Source organism: Homo sapiens, chromosome 6 (assembly GCF_000001405.40).
Source record: "Homo sapiens chromosome 6, GRCh38.p14 Primary Assembly".
NCBI lineage: Eukaryota > Metazoa > Chordata > Mammalia > Primates > Hominidae > Homo > Homo sapiens.
Window position 1 is genome coordinate 39290141 of NC_000006.12, and position 24331 is coordinate 39314471.

Sequence of the window (24331 nt, forward strand, 5' to 3'; positions counted from 1 at the left end):
ACTGGGGGGAACATCATTAATTAGGAAGAGCACATACCTGAGCAAAACCCCAGTCCCAGCCACTGAAGGAATAATAGCAATAGTCACTGTGGGTACTTATGGGGAGCTGGGCACTGTGCTGGCCACTTCACCTCCATGTCCTCATTGAATCTGCACAGCTACTCTGAGGACAAGTATTAGAATGTCAATTTTAAAATTTTAAATTTTTAAAAGACTGGCCAGGTGTGGTGGCTCACGCTGTAATCCCAGCACTCTGGGAGGCCGAGGCGGGCAGATCACCTGAGGTTGGGAGTTCAAGACCAGCCTGGCCAACATGGAGAAACCCCGTCTCTACTAAAAATCAAAAATTAGCCAGACGTGGTGGTACATGTCTGCAATCCCAGCTACTTGGGAGGCTGAGGCAGGAGAATCACTTGAACCCAGGAGGTGGAGGTTGCAGTGAGCCGAGATCACGCCATTGCACTCTAGCCTGGGCAACAGAGAGAAACTCTGTCTCAAAAAAAAAAAAAAAAAAAAAAAAAAAAGGAGGGAGACTGAGGCCCAAGAGTTTAAGAGACTGACCAAGGTCACACAGCTCCTAGGAGTGGAACTGGGATTCAGACAAAGTCTCTCTAGGTCTGTTCATCTCCTAAACCAGTGGTTCTCCAAGCATGCTTCCTGGGCCAGCAGGATCAGCATGAAAACTTGTTAGAAAAGCAAATTATCTTAGAAATCAGATGCTTGGGGTGGGGCCAGCGATGTGCAGTTGAATAAGCCCTCCAGGTCATACAGGTGCACACTCAGTTTGAGAGCCACTGCTCCAAGCCAAACCTAAAAATGGTGCACACTTCACCTCCTCTCTCCCCAGACAAACCCAACAAAGAATAATAATCTAACCATGACCAGATCTAGACCTCAGTTCACCTGCCGGCTCTGCCTTGGAACTTAGCTTAACTTAAACAAGCAGGGTCTCCTCTGGATTGGATGAGACCTCCCTCCTCCCTACTAGGGGTAGGCAGAGAGATCATGGCCCCAGGCCCCAGATGGAGTTCTGGGGTGAAAACAGGAGGTTCACACAGTCTTGGAATCAAGCCCTTTGAGCATCTGATATTTCCGTTGGATGCATGAATTTTGGGTGTCACTCATATTCTCTCTCTCTCTCCTTCTCCCTCCCTCCATTCTCCCAGTCTCAGGACACTACTGCCCAAGGCATAGTTGGTTTCAAGGTAGTGGGAGTTTGTGACATAGGCTTGGGTGGGATGGGGGTCATTTCTTCTTCCTTCCATGGGCAGGAGGTGATGAGATGATGACTCATGTTTATTGATGTCTGAGGCAGACCATTTTCTGAACTCTTTCCATGCATTAACCCCCTTATCCTAGCAACCATGTGTGGGAGGTACTATTACTATTCCCATGTTAGAGGTGGAGAAACCGAGGCACCGACAGGTTAAGCACCTTTCCACAGTCTGTCACACAGCAGTGAGCGGAGCAGCTGAGCGCCGAACATAATGTGGCTCCATTGTCTGTGCTCTTAGCCGCTGAGCTTTTCAGCCTCTAAATAATAGCTAATGAATTCATGGGTTTTTTTTGTTTTCTTTGTTTTTTTTTTGTTTTTGGCCTTTTTTTTACATTCCAGGTACTGTTGTCATTGCTTTACATATTTAAAAAAGTCGGGGAGTGGTATTCTTACCATCACAAGAAGTTAGGAATTTCCAGCAGAGCCTTGGCATTGGTGGATTGAACATTTGTGGTTTGGGTTACTTTTTAGTGGATCGTGTGTGTGTGTGTGTGTGTGTGTGTGTGTGTGTGCGCGTGCCTGCAAGCATCTATCTCACCAGGAGAAGTGGGGAAGGAGAGGCCAGAGGTTGTTGCTCTCCCTGTGGTGTCATGTTCTAAAATGAGCCCGCACATCACACTTGTGGTTCCTGGGGAAAAAAATAAAACAATCTCCACTACCAGTCAAAACAACAATATTTGTACAGCTCCGGTAATAACCTCTGGAACCCTCCTCCCTTCTGGCTTGCAGACAGTGCCTTGCCCTCAGCTCACTCTTACTCCCAGGGTCCCTGCAGCCTTCTTCCCACGAAGCTCATGTTCTTGGGCTCACAGTAGTCTCCTGGTGGTTCAGGGCTCACCTGTCCTGGAAAGTGTTCCAGATGGCTTTGGCCTCCACTTTGGGTAGGACTCAGGACTTGAGAACGCAATGCCACCATGTCATTGCTCTCTCTTCCTTTGACCTGTGTGATGCCAGACTCCATGGTTCTCCTTCTACCCCTGTGATATAGAGTCCTGTGTCTCTTCTTCTTCCTCAAGTTCAGTTGTTTCCTTCTCTTTCTTCCTTTCTTTTCCATTTACCTTTCCCTTTCCTTCCCTTCTCTTCCCTGTCTTAGCACTCCTTCTGTCCCGCCTCATTCCAACTCCTCTGCCTAGCTCTTGAGGTTCTTCTACCTGGCCTACTCTCCCTCCTCCCTACCTGCTGATCAGGGACCAGTTCAGGTCCTCATACCTTGATCCAGAATTTCCTGATGCCTCCAGGCTGACTGTATCACCTCTCCTTCTGACCACCTATGGCTCTCCAGCACTGAGTCAGCCCCACTAGCTCAAGCATTTGAATCACTCTCAACTTACTAGGCATTCATTTAAACATTTATTCTGCACCCACCATTACAAGGCCTGCCTTCTCCTCTGCATGAAAAACTCCTACACATCCTTCAAAGCTCACCCAGATGTATTCCCGTCCTGCCTTGGCTCCCCTCTCCCATAGCCAAGTGGGTGTTCCTGTCTGCCCTCATGCCTCTTGTACGTTACAGGAATGGTTGACATATACGCAGCAGACGCTGACAGTGCCCTGCCTGCTCTGCACCCACCATGCTCATGTACGCTGCAGGTTTCCAATCCGCAAATGCTGGGGAGTTAACACCATCCTACTCCAAGTGATGAGGAATGGGATTTGGGGAATATATGCCCCCGGCTCTCTACCCCTTAGAGGGGACAACTGTAAGCCATGCTCTATGCAGGCTTGCAGAGGTCTCCAGCGGGAAGGAGCGCAACTGCCCACAGTGGTCACCTGCTCATTAATGCTGTCTGCATTGTTTCCCTTTTCTTCTCTTGTTTTAATTCCATGCTTCTTGGAATCATTTCCCAAATAAACTATTTGCAGCCAGATCCTGTCCCAGGATCCACTTGTGGGGAATTCAAATGGAGAAGACAAATCGTATAGAACTTGCACTGCGCCAGACACTAGGTTCTCGATTTACATTAACACATTTAATCCACACAACAGCTTTCCATATAAGGCAGATACCGCTATTAGCATTTCTACTTCATATTTGAGGAAATTGAGGCATAGGGAGGCTAAGTAGGAGGCACAAGTGTCCCGCTTTTCCTGGAAATAAGGGGGTTCCTTGGAGATGGTACTTTCTCAGGACAGTGTGAGGATGAGAGGAAAGATGAAATGAGTTGGTCACCCAAGGTGAAGTGATTTGCCAAAGTCACACAGGAGTGAGTGGCGGGCCTGGGACTGAACCCGGGCCCACCAGCACAACATGGACTGCACTGCTTGGTGGGGCCTTTTACATGAATCTGCTTCCCTACTAGATGGCAGGGATCACATTTTATCCACTTCTGTGTCTCTAAGTTTTGCACTGAGGAATTAGACATTGGGGGTACAGGGAAAAGATGAGTTAAACACAGCCCCTGCACCTAGGGAGCACCTAGTCACATGGGGGAGGCATTGTTTCTGATGCCGTGAAGCCCCCAGTCTGATGGAGGAGTTCCTTGTGGGGAACATGATCTGTCCCTTCCTGCCTGACTTCTCTGCAGGGCTGACAACACAGCTTGGGGGAGCTTCTGTTCCTTCCCTTCTGCCACTGTCCCCACAGGCAAGGGCGACGGGGTCTTCCTGGCCTCCTGCCTGGGTCTCTACCCTCTTGCCATCACTCAGAGCAAGTCACTCCCTAGTCAGGGTGGCTGAATTGATTCTTCCATGACTTTAATTCAGTACTTTGAGCCCCACTCCCCCAGCAGGCTGCAGGGAAACAGTAAAAGATTGATGAACTGGGTGTTGGGATCAGTCCTGTCCTTGCTGGGCACAGATGGCACTTTCCAAGGGCCCGTTGAAGAGCATGTAATGAAGAAACTATGTGTAGAGTGTGGGCAGGTCCACGTGCATGACACGGTATGACTCCCAGGGATCAGCAACAGTGGGGAGTCATTACTACTCTGGGGCTGAAGGGCAAGGGTGATGCTATTACATCACCCAGCTGATGCCACGACCCTGGGAGTGCAGCCACTCCCAAAGCCAGGGCCTGCAGAGAGAGGGCTGATACAACCCTAACTTCTCTCTCCTCCTACCTTCCATCATGGCCCCTCTCAGGCCTGATCAAACTGGAAGTCAAAGACGGAAGGAGCCTGGTGACACAGCGCATGGAGTTCAGGGGTTCAGAGAAAGTCAGAGAGTGGATGGAGAGAGGGAGCCAAGACAGAGTAACAACTAGAGAGTGGTGCTGAGGACTCACGCCCACCCCTCTGCTCTGGCCCCGAGCCCCCAAGCCAAGAGCCTGACCCTTAGAGGCCTCAGCCAGTGGGCTGGTTGGGAGCTGCCCTCTCCAAAACAGAGCTTTGAAAAATATATTCCTTCCATCCCCACATCATTTTCTGCCCCTCCCAAGCCCATTGGAGGCTAAAAGACAGGCAAGTCCAGGGGGACTTCTTGGAGGAAAAGGTACAGTTGGGCTTCATGAGCTTCCTGATGAAAGAGGGTGGAGAAGGAGAAGGTTGAGACCAAGAGGAAGAAAAAAAGGAGGGGCACAAGTATTTTTGAGCCCTATTAAGTATAAGGTAGGACATGGATGCTTTCTCATCTGTTACCAACTCCCCCACCTCCCTTCCTCCACACTTATCAAAACAATCCCGAGGTTGTTCTCAGGATTTTCATTTTATGGATGGAGAGACTGAGGCTCAGAGAGGTTATGTGACTTCTCAGATGTCACACAGCAAGGGATAGAGTCAGAATATAGACATACAACTGCCTGAGTCCAGGAAATAATACATGAGGGCCTATAAAGTTGTGGAAAGGTTGGAGTGTGAGCAAAAGCTGAACAGGGTCCCAAACCCATGGGGAAGCAGGGGGCAGAGGGTTTTGTCTGTGGCTCTTGGGAGGGGTCTGGATGGTTTTGCATTCATGCTTCTGGACGATGTGCTGGTGGGGTGTGGGGAGCAGGTCACAGGGTGGGAAGTACCCAACCCTGGTTGCTTTTCCTACCGCCAGGCTATGAGCTGATATGGGTCCCCAGACAGGTTGAGAGAGGTTTTGTGATTGGAGTGGGGCAGGGACTGAAAATCTTGGGGAAAGTCCCTAGGGATGGGATGAGAAGGCCTTGGGGGAAGGGTGGGACTGTCTCCTTGGCCCCAAGGGATGATTTTAGCTGGGGATGAGTTTTGGCTGGCAAGGGGCAAAGGAGGGTCGGGAGATGCAGGATCCAGCCCTGTCTCCTGGGGAGTGGGAGAGAGCATCAGTGAGGCTGGAGGCTGGGACCAGCACTGTGTGTGGGTGGTTGGGGGACAGACAGTGGAATGGGAGGCCTGGGGATGGCAGTGTGGGTGGAGACCAGCACTGTGTGTGGTTTAGGGAGGGTGGAGGAAGGGGGGTCAGTGGGGCCTACTTCAGGGCAGCACACTCCAGGCCTGGAGCCCAGGGGCGTGGCTGGGTGAGGTAAGGGCCGATGGAACTGGAGATGGGAGTCTTCAGCATAGCTGTCGTCCCTGATGTGAAGGTCCTCTGGCTTCCAAGGAGTCAAGTCCTTCTTTGTCTGGTCTGGCTCCTCAAGTGAATGGATACCATTCCTCCAGCCAGGGCTTCAGCATCGGCGAGGCCATGAGGGAGGGGCTCAGGGCCTGGGGAATTTTGTGCAGATTTTCTCTTCTCTGCCTCCACATCCTGTGAGTGTGTGTGTGTATGTAACTGAGAGGGAGAGAGACAGATACAGAGACAAGAGAAAGAGAGACTTCCTTCCTTGGATCCAAATGCTTAACATGGGCCCAGGAGGATTGACATGGGTGGGGTTGGAAACTGCCCTTCTGAAACATGTTTATTAGAACAATCCAGTCCAAGGCGGAGGGAGTAGAAGTAGTAAGATACAGACTCCCTGATGCCAGCCCCCTTTTACAGGTGAGGAAACTGAGGCACAGAAAGGGGAGTGGCTGGTTGAGATCACACAGGGCTTAAAGGAAGAGTGTCCCTGCCTCTCAGGCCAGGGGAATTTATCCCTTGCAGAGGGCCAGCGGCAACTCCTGTGACCACCCACAGGAACAGGTGGCTACCTTTGGCCTTAACATCCACTGAGGACCTTGTTTCCCCGAGATAAAACAGCATTACAAATAATAGTTCTTTTCTTATGGAGTCGATGGGAGGAGTAAATAACTTACTACAAGTAAAGAGCTTAGAACAGTGCCTAGCACATAATAAGCATTTAATAAATGCTAACAATAAATAATAATAACAATAATAAATAATGATGATAAGGATAAAATATGCTGCTGTTTTAAAGGGGATAACCCAGCGATGTTGAGTCTGATCTTGCCTCACCGGTCAGAGAGGGTGGGGAGAGGTGGCCCGGGGCCAGAGGTCTGCCTGCTCCTGGCATGGTGGGACCCGCGGTGGGCAGTCCCTGGGCCCTGCATTTGCACACTGGGCACTCACTTCCCAGTCTCTGCCTCGAGGCTCCCTGTGGGTCATGCATGTCCACTTGCCTTATCCTGGCCAGCAGAGCAATAGTATCAGCCTGGGAGCCCCCCAAGGGCAGGGCCCCATCCTGCGTCACCGCTTGCTCAGCCCTCCCGCCTGGCCAGCCCTGAGAGGGGGTCAGCCAAGGCGCTGCCTGCCTCATAGCCGCCGGCCCCCAGAGCGTCTGCTTTCCTCCTGTTCTTGTTCACTCAGCCTGGCTGGGAACGATGATGACAGCTGACACGCATGTGGCACCTCCTCAAGGCTGACATATACACTTCTCAGTCCTTTGTGCGCACAGTCACTCATTTCGTTCCTGCAGATCGAAGCTGCTCTTGTCTCCATTTTGCAGAGGAAATAAATTGCAGATGCAAGATTTGCCCAGGGTCACAGAGCTGGCAAGCTGTGGAACCAGGATTTCAACACAGGCAGGCTGGCTCCAAACTCAGCACCCTTAAGGGTCACGCTCTGAGGGCACCCCTTTCTCTCCTCCTCCAGGCTTTGGGTGGCCTGGCTGAGGTGGAAAATAGCAATGAGTTCCTTACTGCAGAAAGCGCACCAGCTTTCTTGGGCTGTCTCCATCATGTTGTCATCACTCCTACCTTCCCTCCCTCGTGCTTGTGGCCTCACTGTCCATTCTGTTCTGTGGCCTCACTGTCCATTCTGTTCTGTGGTTTCTGAACTGAGGTCTAATACTCTGTTTTTGTATTTCCCACATCCAGACCTCTCCAGGTGGCTCCCAACATGGCTTCTTAACACCCCTGTCCCTACCCTATTCACTTTTGTCCCCTCCCCACTCCCCCTCCCACCTCCTGAGTGTAGACTTCAGAGTTTCAGCTATTCTTTTCATTGGCTGAGAAGGAGATAAAGAACTGGCCAAGAATGAGCCTTCCTCTGGGCACTCCAGCAGCCCAGGTTGGTTCCTTCTGGGGCAAGCATTTCTGAGTATGAGGGGTGTGGGCATGGGAGTGAAGGCTTCGTGGGAGAGCACAGTGGGGCCAGGCATGAGGACAAAGAGGTCCGAGGTGAGCTCGGGTTGGGACCACAGTGCCTAACCCAACACACTGGCCTGCTCCTTGCTCCCAGGAGGAAGTTTTGAATGCTAGGTCCTCTTTCTGGAGTGTGTTAAGTACAAAGCATGCCACTTCCACACTTCAGCAATCTCTTCCTCCCCTCCATTTTCCTCTGTCCAGCCCCCTACACCTTCAGAGAGCCACCAGGTAAACTCTGTAAAGATTTGCTGATAAATCTCAGGGCTGATACAGCCAGCAGGCAGCTGGTCTCAGTCCAGCGGCTGAACCTTACTCTATGGCTCATTCACACCGCAGAAAAGCCAGGGGCAAGCCAATGGGGGCCTCGGGAAGTGGGCGTGGGCCCTGTTGTTTACTCTCTCGTGCTGCTCCTGGGTCTGGCCTTGGTCCACGCAGGGCCAGGATGGATGGCGCAAGGGAGATGGTGTAACAGCCTTTACTCCTTCGTTGGCCAAAGGGCTGACCCTGACCCAGTTCCAAGATGGTCACAGGGAGAGGCCACATGGAACTCCCTGGGTCCCTGGGATACCACCTGCAAGATGGGTGGAGGGAACGGAATCACAGGTGCCCACGGAGGCCAAGAGCCCAGCTGCCCCAGGTGAACCTAGGTGTTAGCTGGTACTGCCAGGAGCTCTGGCTGGGCTTATATGTATGTATGGTGGAAACCACTGTGTTATGTGCTATCTTAGTAGCAACCTTCACTGACACTCTGCAAACAGAAGTAGCCTTTGCAAACTCTACCTGGCTTTGCAAACCGTTGATGGGGCCTTCAAACGCAGTGGGGCAGGGTAAGGCAGGAGGAGCCCATTGGCTTGCTCCTGGCTTTTCTGTGGTGTGAATGAGCCATAGAGTAAGGATTCAGCAGCTGGACTGAGACCAGCCGCCTGCTGGCTGCATCAGCCCCGAGAGTTATCAGCAAATCTTTACAGAGTTTACCTGGTGGCTCTCTGAAGGTGTAGGGGGCTCGCAGTCCAGCGTTCAATCCGTTCTTGCCACCAGCCCTGGACAAACTCACACGGGGAGAGGGTAGTTTCTCTCTGTGTAGGTTCCAGTCTCAGATGCTGCCTTTGTCTCTGGGCATACTCAGAATTAGGTTTGGTTATGAATGACAGAAAAACCCAAATAATGGTATTTTACATAAGATGTTTATTTCTCTCTCACATAAAGGAGGTCGGGTGATATTCCGTTTGTTAGGATGGCTCTGTGATCATCAGAGATCCAGACTCTTCCTATCTTATTGTGCCGCTCAAACATTGCCGCTACTTCATGGTGCCGTATGGCTGCCAGAGCTCCCAGCCATCATATCGGCGGCATTGCAGCCCGCTAAAGTAAGGAAGTGGGGGAGAAGGGCATGCTGCCCCGACACCCGAAAGTCACATCCCATGTCACCCAGGACATGTCTCTGTATACCCTATTGGGCAGAATTAATCATATAGCTGCACCCAGCCTCTAGGGTGGATGGAAAATGTAGTCTTTAGTTTGGGTGGACATGTGCAAAGCTTAAAATCAGGGGTCTTGCTACCGAGGACGACGACCAAAGAATGGAGTATAACTAGCTGTCCTTGCCACAGCCTGCAGCGTGAGCAGAAGGTTCCAGATGCTGTATGATTCCCATGGGTCCCTCTGGATAGCATCCTTGCTGTGGGGAGTGGGACTCTGGCTCCCGGTCAGGTCCCTGTCTCCAGCTTTGGGACTTGAAGTCTTCCTTAGAGCTGTGGTGGCAGCAGGAACATACCCTCCCTGGCGTCTCCAGCTGGGAGAGGATGAGTTTGATGATCAAGGCCAGCCATGCCATCCCAAAGAGGATCCACAGGGACACCATGTTCTTGTACCACAGTGGGTACCTCTGGGAGGGGTTCATTCCTGGGGAAGAGGCAAGGTCAGACGATGGAGGCCTGGGAAAGTCAGGACCACATTCCCCAAACAGAAACAGAGATACATGGTTTGATTCATATAAGCAAGTTGAGGTGCCAATGGGACAGAACATGGAGACTCCTAGCCTCATGGTCACCTCCGAAGGATTCCAGAAAGCCTCCCTGGATTGGCACTTGGGTTTAGGAGCTACATTTCCTCTTTGTCTTTCTGAGGGAATCTGTTTATGCTCCATCCCAGCAGTTCTCAAAGTGTGGTCCCTGGGGCCGGCAGCATCAGCATCCCTGAGAGCTTGTTGGAAATGCAAATGATGGGGCCCCTACCCCAGACCTACTGGATCAGAAACTCTGGGCATAGGCCCAGCAATCCGTATTTTTTGTTTTGTTTTGTTTTGGAGACAGAGTCTCACTCTGTTGCCCAGGCTGGAGTTTAGTGGCGTGATCTCGGCTCACTGCAACCTCCGCCTCCTGGGTTCAAGCGATTCTCCTGCCTCAGCCTCCCGAGTAGCCGGGACTACAGGCGCCTGCCGCCACGCCCGGCTATTTTTTTGTATTTTAGTAGAGACGGGGTTTCACCATTGTTGCCCAGGCTGGTCTTGAACTCCTGAGCTCAGGCAATCCACCTACCTCGGCCTCCCAAAGTGTTAGAATTACAGGTGTGAGCCACCGTGCCCGGCCAGAAATCTGTATTTTAACAAGCCCCCAGAGGATTTCGATGTCCGCTCTAGTGTTTGCCAGTCTCTGTTTGGTTTTCTCGTATCTGAAATGAGGCAGCTTGCTGGAGCCAGGGGATTTGGGATGAACAATGGAACCATAAGAATATGTATCCTGACTCGGTTCTTCAGCCACCTGTCTGAACCTCCTTCACCTGTGAGATGGGGAATACGACTGCGCCCCCTTGGCTTTTAGGATGAAGTCCAAATCCTCAAGGCCCTCTGCCCGCTTCTGCAGCACACCTCTCCCCTCTGACTGCCTGGTCATTCTGGTCTTTTTCCCGTTTCCCCATCTATCATTCTTTCTGCCTCTGGGCTTTTGTACTTATGGCCTCTCGGCTCCAAATGCTCTTCATTTTCCATTTTTCTTGGCCTGGTTACCTTCCCTCATCCTGCAGACCTCAGTTCAGACATCACTCCCTACAGACCACGTTGGGTTCCTCTGTTACACGTGCTGCTTTCATGGCCTATGTGTGTCTGCTGGGAAAGTTACTTCCTCATCTGTAAAATGGAGACAGTAAGAGTCCTCCTCCTATGACTGTTGGGAGGATCACATGGGCTGATGCAGCTCAAGTGCTCAGAATGGTGCCTGGTACATAACAGGTGCCCAAGATCTATAGGTGGTTGCTTGTTTCACTCACCATCGGACACCCCCAACGAAGTTGGTGCTGGGTAAGTATAGCTGAGGGAGGGGACTGATGGGAGCTGCTGTGAGTCTTAGATAAATCTTGCCAAGGATTTGCCCTATCATTTAGTACCCTCCCTGGAGGTCTGTGCTGCCTCCCTCATCAGATTGGAATCATTCAAAGGGTAGAGCTCTCCCCTCCTATTCCTTCGTCATCCTTTTCTGTCTTTGCTCCCTGTACCATGCCTCTGTCTACTCCTCATCCTGTCCTGCTGGCCCCAAGACAGCCTCTCTCTCCAGGTCCCCCAAGGCTGGGCCCCTCTCTAGGACCCCCACATGGGGATGAGGCTGCCACCTGGGAGCTGACCTGTGCTGCCTGGCAGGAGCTGGGATTGGATTAGGCTGATTGGGTTATGGGGCTATGATTCCGCTGATGGTCCTAAATGAGATCAGGCACTGAGCCGGCTCTCTGGCCCTGCCACCCGCCAGCTTGGCTTGCTCCTGGTGACAGAGGGGAGGAGGCGCTCTTCTCCGTTTTTATTTCATTTTTTTAAGCTGAAATCATAAGTGGCAGGAGACCTGGCAGCTGGCAAGGCGCTCAACTGAGCTGCAAATGCAATTGGGAGGCGCCAGGCTATGGGGCTGGGGAGGAGTAGCCGGATGGGACCTGGGGGCGGCTCTGGCCACAGCCTTCAGGCAGAGGAGTGGCTGTGAAGACAGCGCCTCTTGTGGCTGCTGATGCAGGGATGTGAACACCCAGTAGCCAACTGGTGGACCTCAGTATCCCCATCCAAGAAAGGGGTTGTCCCTGTTACTGGAGGACAAGGAGACCTGAGAGGTTTGAGGAATAGGCATGGAAGACTCTGAAACATGGGTGGTGTGAAGGGCCCAGGCTTGGGAGTTTATCCTAGATTTGCCCTGACTTACTTGCTCTATGACCTTATGCAACTCCCTTCCCTCCTCCAGGCCTCAGTGTCTCCATCTGTATAAGGAAGATCCCCTGCAGGTGAAGCAGTTGGGGCTCTTATTGTGGTGACCTGCTACGAGGCACTGCCATGACTGCAGAGGGGCCCAGGAGGTAGCAAGTCTCCATAGATGTGGTGAAGGGAGAAGCTCTGCCAACTGCAGTGGCCGCTGGGCAGGAGTGTTCTTGCCCATCCTTGCCCCAGGCCTGGGCAGTCCCTCTGGGCTTAAAGTTTGGACTAGATCTCCTCAGTCAGATTGTATTGGTAGGAGGGGGGTTACAGAATTTGGACTAGATCTCCTCAGTCAGATTGTATTGGTAGGAGGGGGGTTACAGATTTTGGACTTTATCCTAAAACTATGGGAAAACAATGAAGTTCTTCAGAGGAGCTGGGCAGGTGACATCATAGCCTTTGTAATTTTTAAAGGTCATAAGAGCCAACAGGGGACAAGGAGAGAAGCTGCACAAGTCCCTGGGTGCCATCCTTATTATGCTCTGTGTAAGTAGCAAAACTATAGGATTGTGCAGTGCCCAACCTGTGCAGCTATATGCAACAACCCTGCCTGAACTAGGGAAATGGCAGTGGAAATAGAGAAGAAATGACAGATCTAAGAATCATACTCTGAGCTGCGAGGGTGCAGGTATGGCCCTTGGAGCTACTGGGCTCAGCTGTCCTGGGACATATCTCTCTACTCTGAGGGTAAAGGTGGGAACATGACCCAGTTGGAAGAAATCTTCCCAAGAATTTCCTTCCAGAGCAACAGACCTCCCAGGATGAGGGAGATCCAGAAGGGGGCAGTGTGAGGCCCCAACACCTGACCCCTCTTCCTGGGGACCTTGCAAACAGAGGCTAGAAGGCACTGAGGGGCTCTAGGGATTGCCTCATTTTATAGGCAGGAACACTGAGGCCCAGAGAGGAGACATTTTAGGTGGCCTGGAAACAGTATGAATTTTGGAGTCAAATAGATCAGGATTCACATCTTACTAGCTGTGCAGTCTCAGGCAGATGGCTCAGCCTCTCTGAGCTTCAGCTTCCTCCTCAGTAAAATGGGGGTGACAATTGTTGCTGTAGGTTGCCTGAGGAGTTAGCTGAAACTAACTTCATTCTTCCAGGCTGGGTTCTGTCGCTGAAGAAGTGAAGAAGGGCAAGGCCTCCTCCCCACATTAGGGTCTGGGATCAGAGGGAGTGCATGAAGCCGCTTGAGGCTGGCGCGGTAGTGGTGCCAGCGGCACCTTCAGGGACAGGAAGGGGCGGTGATGAGGCTGAGCTGGGGCGCAGCCACTCCGCCACGGCACAGAATGTCCCTCCACTGCCACCTGCTGGGCATCGGACTCAGCCTGATTATGCAAGGCTGGTGGCTTCTAGGGCCCTTGTCTTGCCTAGGTTGGGTTGTGCCACTGATTAAACCCACCCTGGGTCCACTGACCATGAGGCCCTTTCTTGCTGGCACTCAGAATCTGCCTGCCAACTGTTTTCCCACAGGGCTCTGGGGAGGCTGGGGTTCCAGGAGTCTCCCGGACCCTACTGTCTGATCCCCGGGTACTGTGATCTCCAGCCCCAGAGAAGTGGGACAGATTGGCCTTCCATAGGGAGAGAGTGAAGTGGGGAAGGGAGACCCTGGGGCAAGCATGGACCCCGGAGGGAGGCGGGGACTCCCGTCATGTGGAGAGCTCTAAGCACAATAGGTGGGCCCGCGGACGTGTTGGACCTCTCCGCGTTGGTCAAGAAGGGCCAGAGTGACCTCAGACCCGTCACACAACAAAAGCGGGTAGGACAGTGTCTCCGGATTTTGGGCCCAAAAGCCCCCACATGGCGTGCACACAGCAGGTGCGCCAGCTGCGGGAGCAGATGAGTGAGAGGTATAGGCAGCCGAATGTCCCCGCCAGCCCAACCGCCAGGAACTCTCACCAATCACGTAGTCGCCGAAGCCCACGGTGCTGAGGGTGATGAAGGCGAAGTAGAAGCCCTCTGTGTAGCTCCAGCCCTCCATGTGGGAGAAGAGCAGCGGTGGCAGCAGCAGGAAGAGCAGGAGGCCCGAGAGGAGGGCGCCAGAGCCCGCCAGCCACCGCGCCTTGTCAGGATCCTGTGGGTGCAACATTGTCCCCAGGCCTCCTGAGGCCTTCACCCCATGCGTGGGAGCCGAGGGAGCTGGAGGCAGGCCAGAGCTGTCCCCAGTAAGAAGGGGGCTCTTCACCTGGTCTGTGTTCTCCAGGTTCCCTGCCTGGAGCCTGTGCCTCATGTCCTTCCTGTCTGCCCAGTCCCACCCCATCTCCACCATTAATGCCCTTTTTCACTAAGGACCCTATTCTGAGCAGTGACCCCCAATCCCAACACAACCTCACCAGTAACACTTGCTCCCACCTCTTGTCATTAGTAACCCCAATTCCCACCACAGCCCCTCATTCTAGAAGTGACCCATCCCCACCCCGTCCAGCAGCCCCCTCACCTGCCAGGTGCCCCCCAGCCTGCTGGCCCAGTGGTTTACTCCCTGCTGCATGAGATGCCCCAGTCGGTTGAGCACCACGAGGTTGAGTGGGATCCCCACAAGGGCAAAGAAGATGCAGAAGAGGCGGGCAGCCATCGTGTTGGGGCTCAGGTTGCCATAGCCTGAGGTGAGAGGGGGCACTCAGGGGACATTTCCAGCCCAGCCCTGTCCACTCACCACCACAGCCCCACTCCTGGGCCCAACCCCCAGGGCCCTCATTCTAACCCACTGTAGATGTGGGCAGCTGATACTTACCAAGGCCCTCCTTTTCTGTGCTGGGCACTGTGCAGGGCACCCTGTACATTCATTCCCTCAGTTCACCCTCGAAACCACCCTTCCAAATCAGAATTATGTGCCATATTTTACAGGCTGGAGAAGCTCTAGGAGGCTAAGCTGCATGCATGAGCTCAAACCCACCAAATGTGAGTCTCCTCTTCCTCTCTTCATGTCCTCCCTCTCTGGATGGGCAGATGGATGCTGGAGGGGGCAGAGCCTCCAGCTGTTGCACTCTTAGGATCTACTGCACCATTCAGGCTGAGGCCATGCTGTCTCCACACTGCTCCCAGCCATGCTTGGGCACAGTGGGGCACTGAAGCTGGCCATCCCTGCCCAGTGTGGCACTCCTCTTTCAACCTTTGCTCTGGGATCCCCATGGCCTGGCCCAGACTTTCTGACAGCTGCAATGCAGAGAGCAGCTCTTCCCACACCAGTCTCCTTCCTTCCCTCTCTCCTTTCATAGGTATCAGGCCTGCTTGCAGTCTGAGGCTTTTGACATTAATTCCTGCTCCTTCTCTTTTATCCTTCAAAGGCTCCCCTCAATATATCTCTTGCGCATCTAATTCTGTCTTGATATCTGATTCCTGGAGGACCCAAACTAGCACAACGGGGCTCCCTCATAAAGCTCAGTGGGAGGGAGGGACAGACAGTAAGTCATCAGCTGCCTAGGGGAGGAGGTAGAAGTTGGGGGGGTGGTCTCTGATCCTCAAGATAGGGAGAGGGGAAGCTAGGGGAGGAAAAGATGTTCATAAAAGATTCTATCCATCTGGACATTCTTTTCTCCTCCAGCTCTGCCTCCACCCTTCTTGATCACCACCACTGTCTTGTCTTATTAAAATGCAAAACTGATTAGATCATCATTGAGGTTATAACCCTTCTTCAGTCTCCTGTCTGCTGGGGAAAGTCCAAGCTCTTGCCCAGCCTTTCTCTGAGACTCGTCTGGTGCCCCCGCTTCCCCAGCTCTAGCCACATTGCTGGCCTGCAGAACTCTCCAGGTCCACTCGTGCCTCTGCACCTTTGACCACAATGCTTCCTCTATGAAGAGAGTCTCTCCTCTTTACCCACATAAATATAAATGACCCTTCCAGTCCTCGACTCTCCAGTGCAGCTGCTCCTCATCCAGGGCCCCCTCCAGCACTCTCCCTTGCACTGTGTGAGAAAGATTTGTTTCCATGTCTGCCTCTTCCAAGTATATCAAGTATATGCTCTGAGCCCCTCAAGAGCAGGGACTGGGTCTTTTTTTTTTTTTTTTGAGACGTAGTTTCGCTCTCTTGCCCAGGCTGGAGTGCACTGGCACAATCTTGGCTCACTGCAAACTCCGCCTCCTGGGTTCAAGCTATTCTCCTGCCTCAGCCTCCCGAGTAGCTGGGATTACAGGCATGTGCCACCACGCCCAGCTAATTTTTGTATTTTTAGTAGAGACGGGGTTTTGCCATGTTGGCCAGGCTGGTCTCGAGCTCCTGACCTCAGGCGATCTGCCCGCCTTGGCCTACCAAAGTGCTGGGATTACAGGCGTGAGCCACCGCACCCGGCCTGGGACTGGTTCTTAATCACCATATTCTCAGCAACTGGCAAAGGATCTGACCCTTAATAGGTGCTCTTCACTACATATGTGTTGAATGCATAAAGAATGAGTGAATGAATGAATGAGGAAATACAAAAGTGAATGTGTAAGTAAATGAACAAATGCCTCTCATTTTGCCTCCTAGCACTGCCTAACATTCTTGCTTGCCCAGATGGGGTCACTGTGCCCACACACCCTAAACTCGTCTGTACTATATTGAAACCAATGTTTACATCCACCCCCACCTTACTGAGGGGTCCCAAGAGAGGTCAAACTATGTACAAGTACAGAGCATGTGCTTTGGAGTCTGCTGCACCTCCTAGGTTTGGATCCCAGCTCAGCTCCTTGCAGGCTGTGGGACCTTGGGCAAGTGGCTCGATCTTTCTTTCTTTGTTTTTTTTTTTTTTTTTGTGACAGAGTCTTGCTCTGTGGCCAGGCTGGAGTGCAGTGGCGCGATCTCGGCTCATTGCAACCTCTGACTCCCTGGTTTCAGCGATTATCCTGCCTCAGCCTCCCGAGTAGCTGGGATTACAGACACATGCCACCACACCCAGCTAATTTTGCATTTTTAGTAAAGATGGGGTTTCACCATGTTGGCCAGGATGGTCTCAATCTCCTGACCTTGTGATCTGCCTGCCTTGGCCTCCCAAAGTGCTGGGATTACAGGTGTGAGCCACCGTGCCCAGCTTGCTTGCTTCCTTCCTTCCTTCCTTCTGTCCTTCCTCTCTCTCTCTTTCTTTTGGCTTGACCTTTCTGAATGCTGCTTCCTCCTGTAAAATGGGGATGCTGACATCCACCTACAGTGGGGGGTAATGATGAAATGAGGAATGGAGGTACACTGTAGAAGGGAATGTGAGCTTGCAAGCATCTGGTATATACAAGGTGCTAAATGTTTGTTGAATAAATGAATGATAGAACTCCAGTGAACTGGCTTCTGGTCTGAGGACTTCAGAAGCCTCTTGAGTCCCCATCTACCTCCCCCTCTGGCCTTTATGGGTTTCCTCTTCCAAAGGAGAGTTCTCCTTTCTGTAGGCATCTAGGGCGAGGTAAACCTCTTACTTTCCACCCACCTCTCTGCCTGCCTCCTCACCAACCCCTCCTCCTCCAGCTGTAGGTCCTGCCAAGTTCCATCATCTGGTACTGGTTTTTCTTCCCCATTCAGTTTTCACCAGCGGGATGGGGACACTAAGATTCCAGCTCTGAGAGGAGCCCCATGGAGGCCTGCAGCGTTCTCAGGCTGACATTAAATGGGTTTTTTTCCTCCCCACTATTCTCAGCCATCCCTCAGGTCAGCAAAAGGATGTCACCTACCTGTTGAACGCTGGGTAGCCACAGCCCCACCCAAGCCACCTTTCACTTCAGCATGTCTCCTCACTGCCACTTTGCATCTTGTTGGGATCTCTGGGCATCCTGCAAGAACCCTACAAGTCTATCTGTGATTGGTCTTCTCTGTACTTTCTCTGAATGCAGCTCCTGTTTCCAACCCTCTCCACCTACCTGGACCTCCTTACTGCTCCCCAAACACACAAGTCACATTCCCATCTCAGGGCCTTTGCACTTGCTGGCAGAGGATTCTCTCCTCAGATATCATCAGTTTGCTCCATTATTTTACTCATGTCTCTGCTTCAATGTTACTGTATCAGCTTCAATGTTACTGAATGGACACCCCACCTACAATAGGTGCCCCCATCACTATGAGACCCCTTTAACTAGCTTTACTTTTCTCTAAGCACACCCCACTACCTGATTATTGTCCATGTATCTGTTTAGTGTGTGTCCCCTCACACTAGAATGTCAGCTCCCCAAGGGCTGGGACTTGCTAATTTTGATTACCATTGTATCCTCAGCACCAGTGTCTGGCCCACACTAGGTACATATGTATGTGTACATACACACACCAAGGTATGTATGTGTGTATGTATGTACTTATCTTTTGAGGCAGAGTCTTGCTCTATTGCCTAGGCTGAAGTGCAGTGGCACAATCTCGGCTCACTGCAACCTCCGCCTCCCAGGCTCAAGCGATTCTCGTGCTTCTGCCTCCCAAATAGCTGGGATTACAGGCACCCGCCACCACGTCTGGCTAATTTTCATATTTTTAGAAGAGATGGGGTTTCATCATGTTGGCCCGGCTGGTCTCCAACTCCTGGCCTCATGTGATCCACCTGCCTCGGCCTCCCAAAATGCTGGGATTATAGGCAAGAGCCACCATGCCCAGCCTTCAATTTATTTGTTGAACAAATGGATGGATGAATGAAAGAACCAATGAGCAAGCCAGGAATGGAGTTCATAGATGAGTGATTTCTGGGCTCAGGCCTGTCCTACTGGCCCAGAGGTATTTGTGTTAGGGCTTGGAAAGTACTGCCCTTGCAGGGTGCTGGTCCCAGGGTAATGGGTTTGCCGAAGAGGCTGCCCTCTGCTGAGCCTCTCAGAATATCCCTTCTTCCCTTGTGGCATTCCAGATGTACCTCATCTTCCATCTCCCTCTCCTTCTCTCTCCAAATACCTCCCATGTGTAAGTGCATACAGGTGTGGTCAGCATCACAGAACCCTCACTCCCCTCCTGTTCACTCCACAATGGCTAGTCAACTCTGCTTCTCACTAGCCGTATGATCTGGGGGAGATGGTGCAACATCTCTGTGCCACCGTGTCCCCATCTGTGTCATGAAAATAGGCTGGACACAGTGGCTCACACCTGTAATCCCAGCACTTTGGGAGGCCAAGGCGGGTGGATCACTTGAGGACAGGAGTTTGAGGCCAGCCTGGCCAACATGGTAAAACCTGTCTCTACTGAAATACAAAAATTAGCCGGGCATGTTGGCAAGTGCCTGTAGTCCCAGCTACTTGGGAGGCTGAGGTAGGAGAATCGCTTGAACCTGGGAGGCGGAGGTTTCAGTGAGCTGAGATCATGCCACTGCACTCCAGCCTGGGTGACACAGCGAGACTCCGTCTCAAAAAAGAAAGAAAGAAAATAATAAGACCTATTCTTGGAGGTTGCCATAGGGACAAATTGAAATCTTAAATGTCAAAGTGCCCAGCACAGTGCCTAGTACAAGAAGACCTCGGGTGTTTCCTCAGGTGTACTGTGTGTGTGGGGTGGGGCAGGGCCCTCCTCTCTTTGCCCTCCTCACCCTCAAGCTGGTTGAAACTGAGTGGAGAGGAAAGGACAGAGGCATAATCCAAGCTAGGGGTGGTAGAGCTGGGAAGAGAGGTAGCAAAACTCTGAATTTGGTGGGCCAAAGTCACAGGCCCTGAGAAGAGTGTGGGAGGTGTGGGGTTTGCAGACTAAAGGACCCCCAAATCTGGGAGGCCTGGCCTACAGTGACTGTGTTTTAAGATCTCCTGCTACCCTGGAACTCAATACATGCCTGGTGAATGCATATTTAATGGAATTCCTTAACGTGGCAGTATTTATTGAGTGGCTGCTGTATGCTGGGCCTTGTAATAGACCCTTGGGGATGTAAAGATGAATCGGCCCATCCTGCCAGTCCTTCAGGGGCTCAGGGCCGCTGGAGTCTGAGATGCCTCCCAAGCATGCTTGTCTCAAGGATTGCCCAAGCTCCCATGTAGCTCTGAGGTCTGCTTTCAAGAAGTTCTGGCCAATTTAAAACTAGATGGAGAATCCTCTGGGTGCTCTTGCCTTACCCAACCCTGTGGGGAGGCTGGGATACTGGTGTCCTGGAGAGAGGATCCTGGCTGGCCAGGAACTGGGAGGCGGTAGCCCAAGTCACCAGTGATACCAGCCTGCCACCTGGTGGCAAGTCCTGTGTCATGCAGGAGTTGGGGCAGAAGGATCTGGGTGGCTCGACTTGCATGATTTCCTGGGTTTCAGAACTGCAGGGATCTAGCCTGCTCTTCTTTGCACAGCAGCCCCTCAGCACCCTCCTGAGACAAGCTCTACCTCAGCTCTTCCGCAGAGGAGGGTTAGTCCAGGTGTCCCTGTGTGTGGGGAGGATGGCGATGAGGAGTGGAGGGGGCTGTTTGCAAGCTGAAGAGAGGACTGTGGGAATGGGGTCTGGAGACAAGGACATGGGAGGAATGGCCACCTCCCCCAGGGCTGAGAAACGGGGGGTCTAAAGCTCTTTCTTTGGATTTCTACTTCTTCTTCCTTCCTAACTTTCCCTCCACTTCTCCCGACCACCACTCCCGGGGCTCAGTGTTGGGTGGGCTCAGCTGAGGAGACTGGCATCCTTGTAGTGCCCAGAGACATGTTTCTTGCTGTACTGGGAGACCTCTGCTTCCTGAAAGGCCATGTGGGGCAGAAGTCCCCTAGAGCAGTGCTTGTCAAACTCGAACAGTGCACATGAATCCCCTGGGGACCTGGGTGAGATGCTGAGGCTGAGTCAGCAGGTCTGTAGTGAGGCCCGAGACTGCTCCCAGGCGGTGTCCATGCTGCAGAGCTGAACTGCACTTGGAGTCATGAGACTCCAGGTAATCCCTCCAAAAGGCAACTAGCCTGTTGCCTCTCAGGGAGCTGCCTCCTTCCCCCACCCCCATCCCCCTGGCCCCATCTGGCCCTTACCAATGGTGGTGATGGTGGACACAGAAAAGAAGAAGGAGCCCACGAGCTCCCAGCGCCCCATGCTGGTGGTGTTGCTGAGGAGGCTGGCTCCGTTTTTGTATGCTTGGACGACATCCTGGGGAAGAGGCTGCAATGACCACCAGGCTCTGTGGGGTGATGGATTTCCTGTACCCCAAGATGCACACACACACACACACACACACACACACACACACACACACACACACAAACAAACCTACACACACAGCCCTCACAATTACTCTTCGATCCCAGCCCACCAGGGCAAGGAGGCTCTACCCCTCTCACCAAGGGCTCACCAGGTACAGCTACTGACAGCTACCATGGGGACAGCTCCTTCCCCACCCTTTACCCAGTGGCTAGGTCAGGTTGGAGTCCTAGTAAACCAGCGACTCATTTTCTCCCCTGCTCACTCCCATTCCTGCAACAAACACTAGGCCAGGCGTGATGTGTGGTGCTTTTAGGGGACGTGACCACAAGAGACATGACCCCAGCCCTCAGTGGTACATAGATAAACCTAATTAACTCTAATATGATGCAGTCAATGTCACTTTGGGCATTAAGGAGGAAGTGCAGCTACACAATCCTGGGCAAGGTGCTCAACTTCTCTCTGTGCCTCAGTTTCCTTACCTGTATAATGGTAATACAAATAGTACCTACTTCATAGAGTTGTTGTGTTAAATAAGGTATTATGTGTAGACTTAGTACCTGGCACATGGTGTTAGCAGTTGCTATATTGCCTATATGCATTATATAGGCATATAATGTTGTAGGACTCTGGGGAAGAAGGATGTTCATTCTCATTTGGGTAGGAGCAGAGGCCTCATGGAGAATGGGATGTTTTAGCTGGGCCTTTGAGGGTCAGGTAGGATTGCTTCTGGTGGAAGGATGTTTAGGTAGATGGGACAGCAGTGCAGAAGGTGGGAGGTGAGACTGCCTGGGACCTAGATTAGGGAGACTGGTAAGAAGTGATTGAGGCCAAGCTGTGCTTGGCTTTGCCATGCCAGGGATGAAGTCGCAGGTATCAGCCAAGGTCACTGAGCAAAGGGGAAGTAGGATCAGGTTTGTGTGCTCTGTGGCAGCTGGCAGTATAGAAAGGGTTGACCAGAGGGGAGAGACTCCTGCAGAAGTGAGTGATAGACGGGCCCTGGCCTGTCTCCTGGCACAGGTGGTCCAGGAGGAACAGAGAGGAGATATTCAGAAGCCCAGGCCTCTGGCCCTATTTAGTATGGGCAGTAAAGGAGATGTTGCAGAGGATTGTGAGGGTGTGTGGACATGGGGCAGACAATCGAGATTTAGGACAGGTGGAGAAGCAGGGCTGGGAGGAGGAGGACCACTTGCTCTTGGCCTTGAGGAATTTCAGAAGTTGCATGTCCACATCTGGTGCTCAGAAAGATCTGGGCTGGATACCACATCCTTATTCCTGGAGTTGGCTGAAGCCACAGGAGTGTTGAGGAAGGGGGTGAGGTGGGGGTGGAGGGAGTTGAAGGGAAAGCCCAAAGAGATGACAGCCTGGCTGGGAATCTTGGGAAGCACCCACATCCACAGGTCCACACTGAGGCAGTATTTATGCTGGTTAACAGCTCCAGCTCCTGGCTATGTAGCCATGCATTCGTATGTAACCTCTCTGAGCCTGTTTCTTCACCTCTGAAACAGGATGATAAAAACAGTACCCACCTGTGAGGGTGAAACAGGATGATAAAAACAGTACCCACCTGTGAGGGAGGTGAGACAAATGAATACGGGTAAAGTACCAGCAACAGTGCTTGGCACACGATAAGTGCTGCACAGAGGCATTTACTGTTATTATAATCACCATCATAGCCATCTCCCTGGGCCCAGGCTGCTTGTAGTCGAAGTTCACCACCTTTGCAAGGGTAATGGCAGGCAGCCTCAGCACCAGGACCCAGCAGTCGGGCTGTATTTGCAGAAGTCCGCAGGTGGGGAGCTGGAGGAATCACTTTAGGTCCTTAGTAGAGATAGGCCTGGCCCTGGCTACCTCCTGACCTCACCGAATCGGCCTAGTCCGAGGGTTCAGAACACCACTTCCGCTCCGCGCTGGGTCCCTTCCCACCCTGGCACGGTTCCCTGCCACCTTCCGGGGATTGGCTTTGGACTGGAGACTCTGGACGGATAAGCCACCAGGACTGCAAGACGGGGATTCTGGGCTGGCGCGCAGCTGTCTGGACTCTGGGCTCTTGGACGAAGGGGTGGGGAACCAAGCCAGGACCCAGGACATCAATGCCTCCGCCAAATCGAGCAGCTGCCAGTCTGGCGTCGCTTCAGTCCTAAGATGCGCCACCCCTAGAACCCTCCCCGGCCTCCTCCGCCCTGCTAGGCCCCACCCTTGAGGAGCCTCTGCTCAGATTTACCTCTGAGTCCTCCCCTGAACCCTGCCTTCAGCCTTTCTGGGCAGCCGCGCGGCGGCGGCGCGCCCAGTCCTTGTGTCCGAAGACTCGGAGTAAAGCGGGTTCAGCCAGAGAGCGGCCCTGCGTCCGCCCTCCTCTCGAACCCGGGTCTGCGCACGTCGAGCCCCCTCTCTGCGTTGAGGGTGGCCCCGACCAGCACGCCTCGGGCCCAATCCACCCACCCTCCGGGACAAACGCGCCTTCCCCCAGGCTCCTACGGCCGCGCCCTCGCTCCTGCGCATCCTTAGACCCGGCGCCCCTGCCGTCCCAGCTCCCAGTTCGCAAACGTGCGCCCGGGTTCCCCCTCTGGAAGCGGCCAGGTGTGGCGTTTAGCTCTTTGCCACGGGTGCGGGTGCGACCAACCCCCAAGCAGGCTCAAACGCGCCCTTTCCCGGGTCAGGCCGGGCGGGGCCGGTTACGCGCGCGCCCCCTGCCGTAGTCGTCCTCGCCCCCAAATTTGGATGTGTCCCCAGGCATCTGCCTCCTCACCGGGCCAGCATGCCCTCTCGCCCCCAAGTAGGACTCAGCCCGGCTTCTCGCAGTCCTCTCGCTAGGGCGAGGGTCTTTTCCTCCGAGGTCCCCCAACCCTCTGGTCCCCGCGCAGGAACGCCCACCCCCGTTGTGCCCGCGTCTGCGTTCCCGACGTTTCCCTGAACAGGAAACACCTGACCAGGGCCTGAATAGGCCCCCTCGCCCTCGGCCCGTACACCCCGCGGCCCGCTACCCCATCCCGCCGCGCCCAGGCCGACGCCGCTCGCCCCTGACCCGGATCAGCGAGTCCAGCGCCGGGCGGTCCAGACACGTGAAGTTCTGCAACAGCTCCCACTTGTCGCGCTGGAAGCTGCGGCTGGAGTCCTGCGCCGCGCGGCCCTCCAGCGTCCAGAACACGCCGGTGCCCAGCGCCAGGTAAGCCAGGTAGGCGAGCAGCAGGAGCACGGTGCTGGGCACCGCGCAGCCCCGGACCCTGCCCTCGGGAGCCGCCCGGGCTCGCGGTCGGTACATAGCGGGAGAGGCGGGGAGCCGGCGCCGGGAGCGGTGGACTAGGACCCGGTGGGAGGGAAGGGCCAGGCGTCCAGCTCGTATCTCCTCTCGCAAACGCCTGCTGGTGCCCGGTTTCGCCGGGGAGGAGGAGTGTTGGGGAATGGGACAGCCT

General features: G+C 53.4%; 1 protein-coding gene and 1 long non-coding RNA gene across 3 annotated transcripts in view, besides 5 other annotated features; one reads left to right on the forward strand and one right to left on the reverse strand.

The window, feature by feature from the left end:
- Window positions 1326-1827: an enhancer, noted in NCBI's record as "NANOG hESC enhancer chr6:39259242-39259743 (GRCh37/hg19 assembly coordinates)". NCBI's record gives its function as "activates a minimal SCP1, AML or CMV promoter by ChIP-STARR-seq in primed H9 embryonic stem cells {active_cell/tissue: H9 hESC(primed)}" and the evidence as "EXISTENCE:reporter gene assay evidence [ECO:0000049][PMID:30033119]".
- Window positions 6765-7278: an enhancer, noted in NCBI's record as "H3K4me1 hESC enhancer chr6:39264681-39265194 (GRCh37/hg19 assembly coordinates)". NCBI's record gives its function as "activates a minimal SCP1, AML or CMV promoter by ChIP-STARR-seq in naive H9 embryonic stem cells {active_cell/tissue: H9 hESC(naive)}" and the evidence as "EXISTENCE:reporter gene assay evidence [ECO:0000049][PMID:30033119]".
- On the reverse strand, window positions 8861-24279 carry KCNK17 (potassium two pore domain channel subfamily K member 17). 2 transcript variants are annotated; one of them, NM_001135111.2, is made up of 6 exons: window positions 23944-24279; window positions 20753-20867; window positions 14355-14515; window positions 13817-13991; window positions 10233-10383; window positions 8861-9597 (listed from the first exon to the last, which is right to left on the reverse strand). In NM_001135111.2, the coding sequence occupies exons 1-5, from the start codon at window positions 24178-24180 to the stop codon at window positions 10256-10258; spliced, it is 816 nt and encodes a 271-aa protein (NP_001128583.1). In that variant the 5' UTR covers window positions 24181-24279; the 3' UTR covers window positions 8861-9597; window positions 10233-10255. The 2 variants fall into 2 exon arrangements, with proteins under 2 accessions (NP_001128583.1, NP_113648.2); NM_031460.4 differs by lacking the exon at window positions 10233-10383.
- Window positions 11645-11744: a silencer, noted in NCBI's record as "silent region_17166". NCBI's record gives its function as "represses an Ori minimal core promoter by ATAC-STARR-seq in GM12878 lymphoblastoid cells {active_cell/tissue: GM12878}" and the evidence as "EXISTENCE:reporter gene assay evidence [ECO:0000049][PMID:35858748]".
- Window positions 12885-13184: an enhancer, noted in NCBI's record as "active region_24489". NCBI's record gives its function as "activates an Ori minimal core promoter by ATAC-STARR-seq in GM12878 lymphoblastoid cells {active_cell/tissue: GM12878}" and the evidence as "EXISTENCE:reporter gene assay evidence [ECO:0000049][PMID:35858748]".
- Window positions 13738-13897: a silencer, noted in NCBI's record as "fragment chr6:39271654-39271813 (GRCh37/hg19 assembly coordinates)". NCBI's record gives its function as "represses an EF-1alpha promoter that drives an FKBP-Casp9 reporter gene in an ReSE screen in K562 erythroleukemia cells {active_cell/tissue: K562}" and the evidence as "EXISTENCE:reporter gene assay evidence [ECO:0000049][PMID:32094911]".
- The window catches only part of LOC105375047 (uncharacterized), a 28746-nt gene continuing 28230 nt past the window's right edge, over window positions 23816-24331 (forward strand). The window contains exon 1 of the long non-coding RNA XR_926774.3: window positions 23816-24084. This is a non-coding gene — a long non-coding RNA (uncharacterized LOC105375047). The remainder of the gene's footprint in view (window positions 24085-24331) is intronic.

Excerpts from the sequence above, each read along its gene's own strand:
- KCNK17 (NM_031460.4), bottom strand. The coding sequence starts at position 24,180 with ATGTACCGACCGCGAGCCCGGGCGGCTCCCGAGGGCAGGGTCCGGGGC. Across the intron at positions 13,992-14,354 it reads GGCTGGGGGGCACCTGGCAG|GATCCTGACAAGGCGCGGTG; the intron begins GTGAGGGGGCTG and ends TTGCACCCACAG. Across the intron at positions 9,598-13,816 it reads CTTCGGCGACTACGTGATTG|GAATGAACCCCTCCCAGAGG; the intron begins GTGAGAGTTCCT and ends CCTCTTCCCCAG.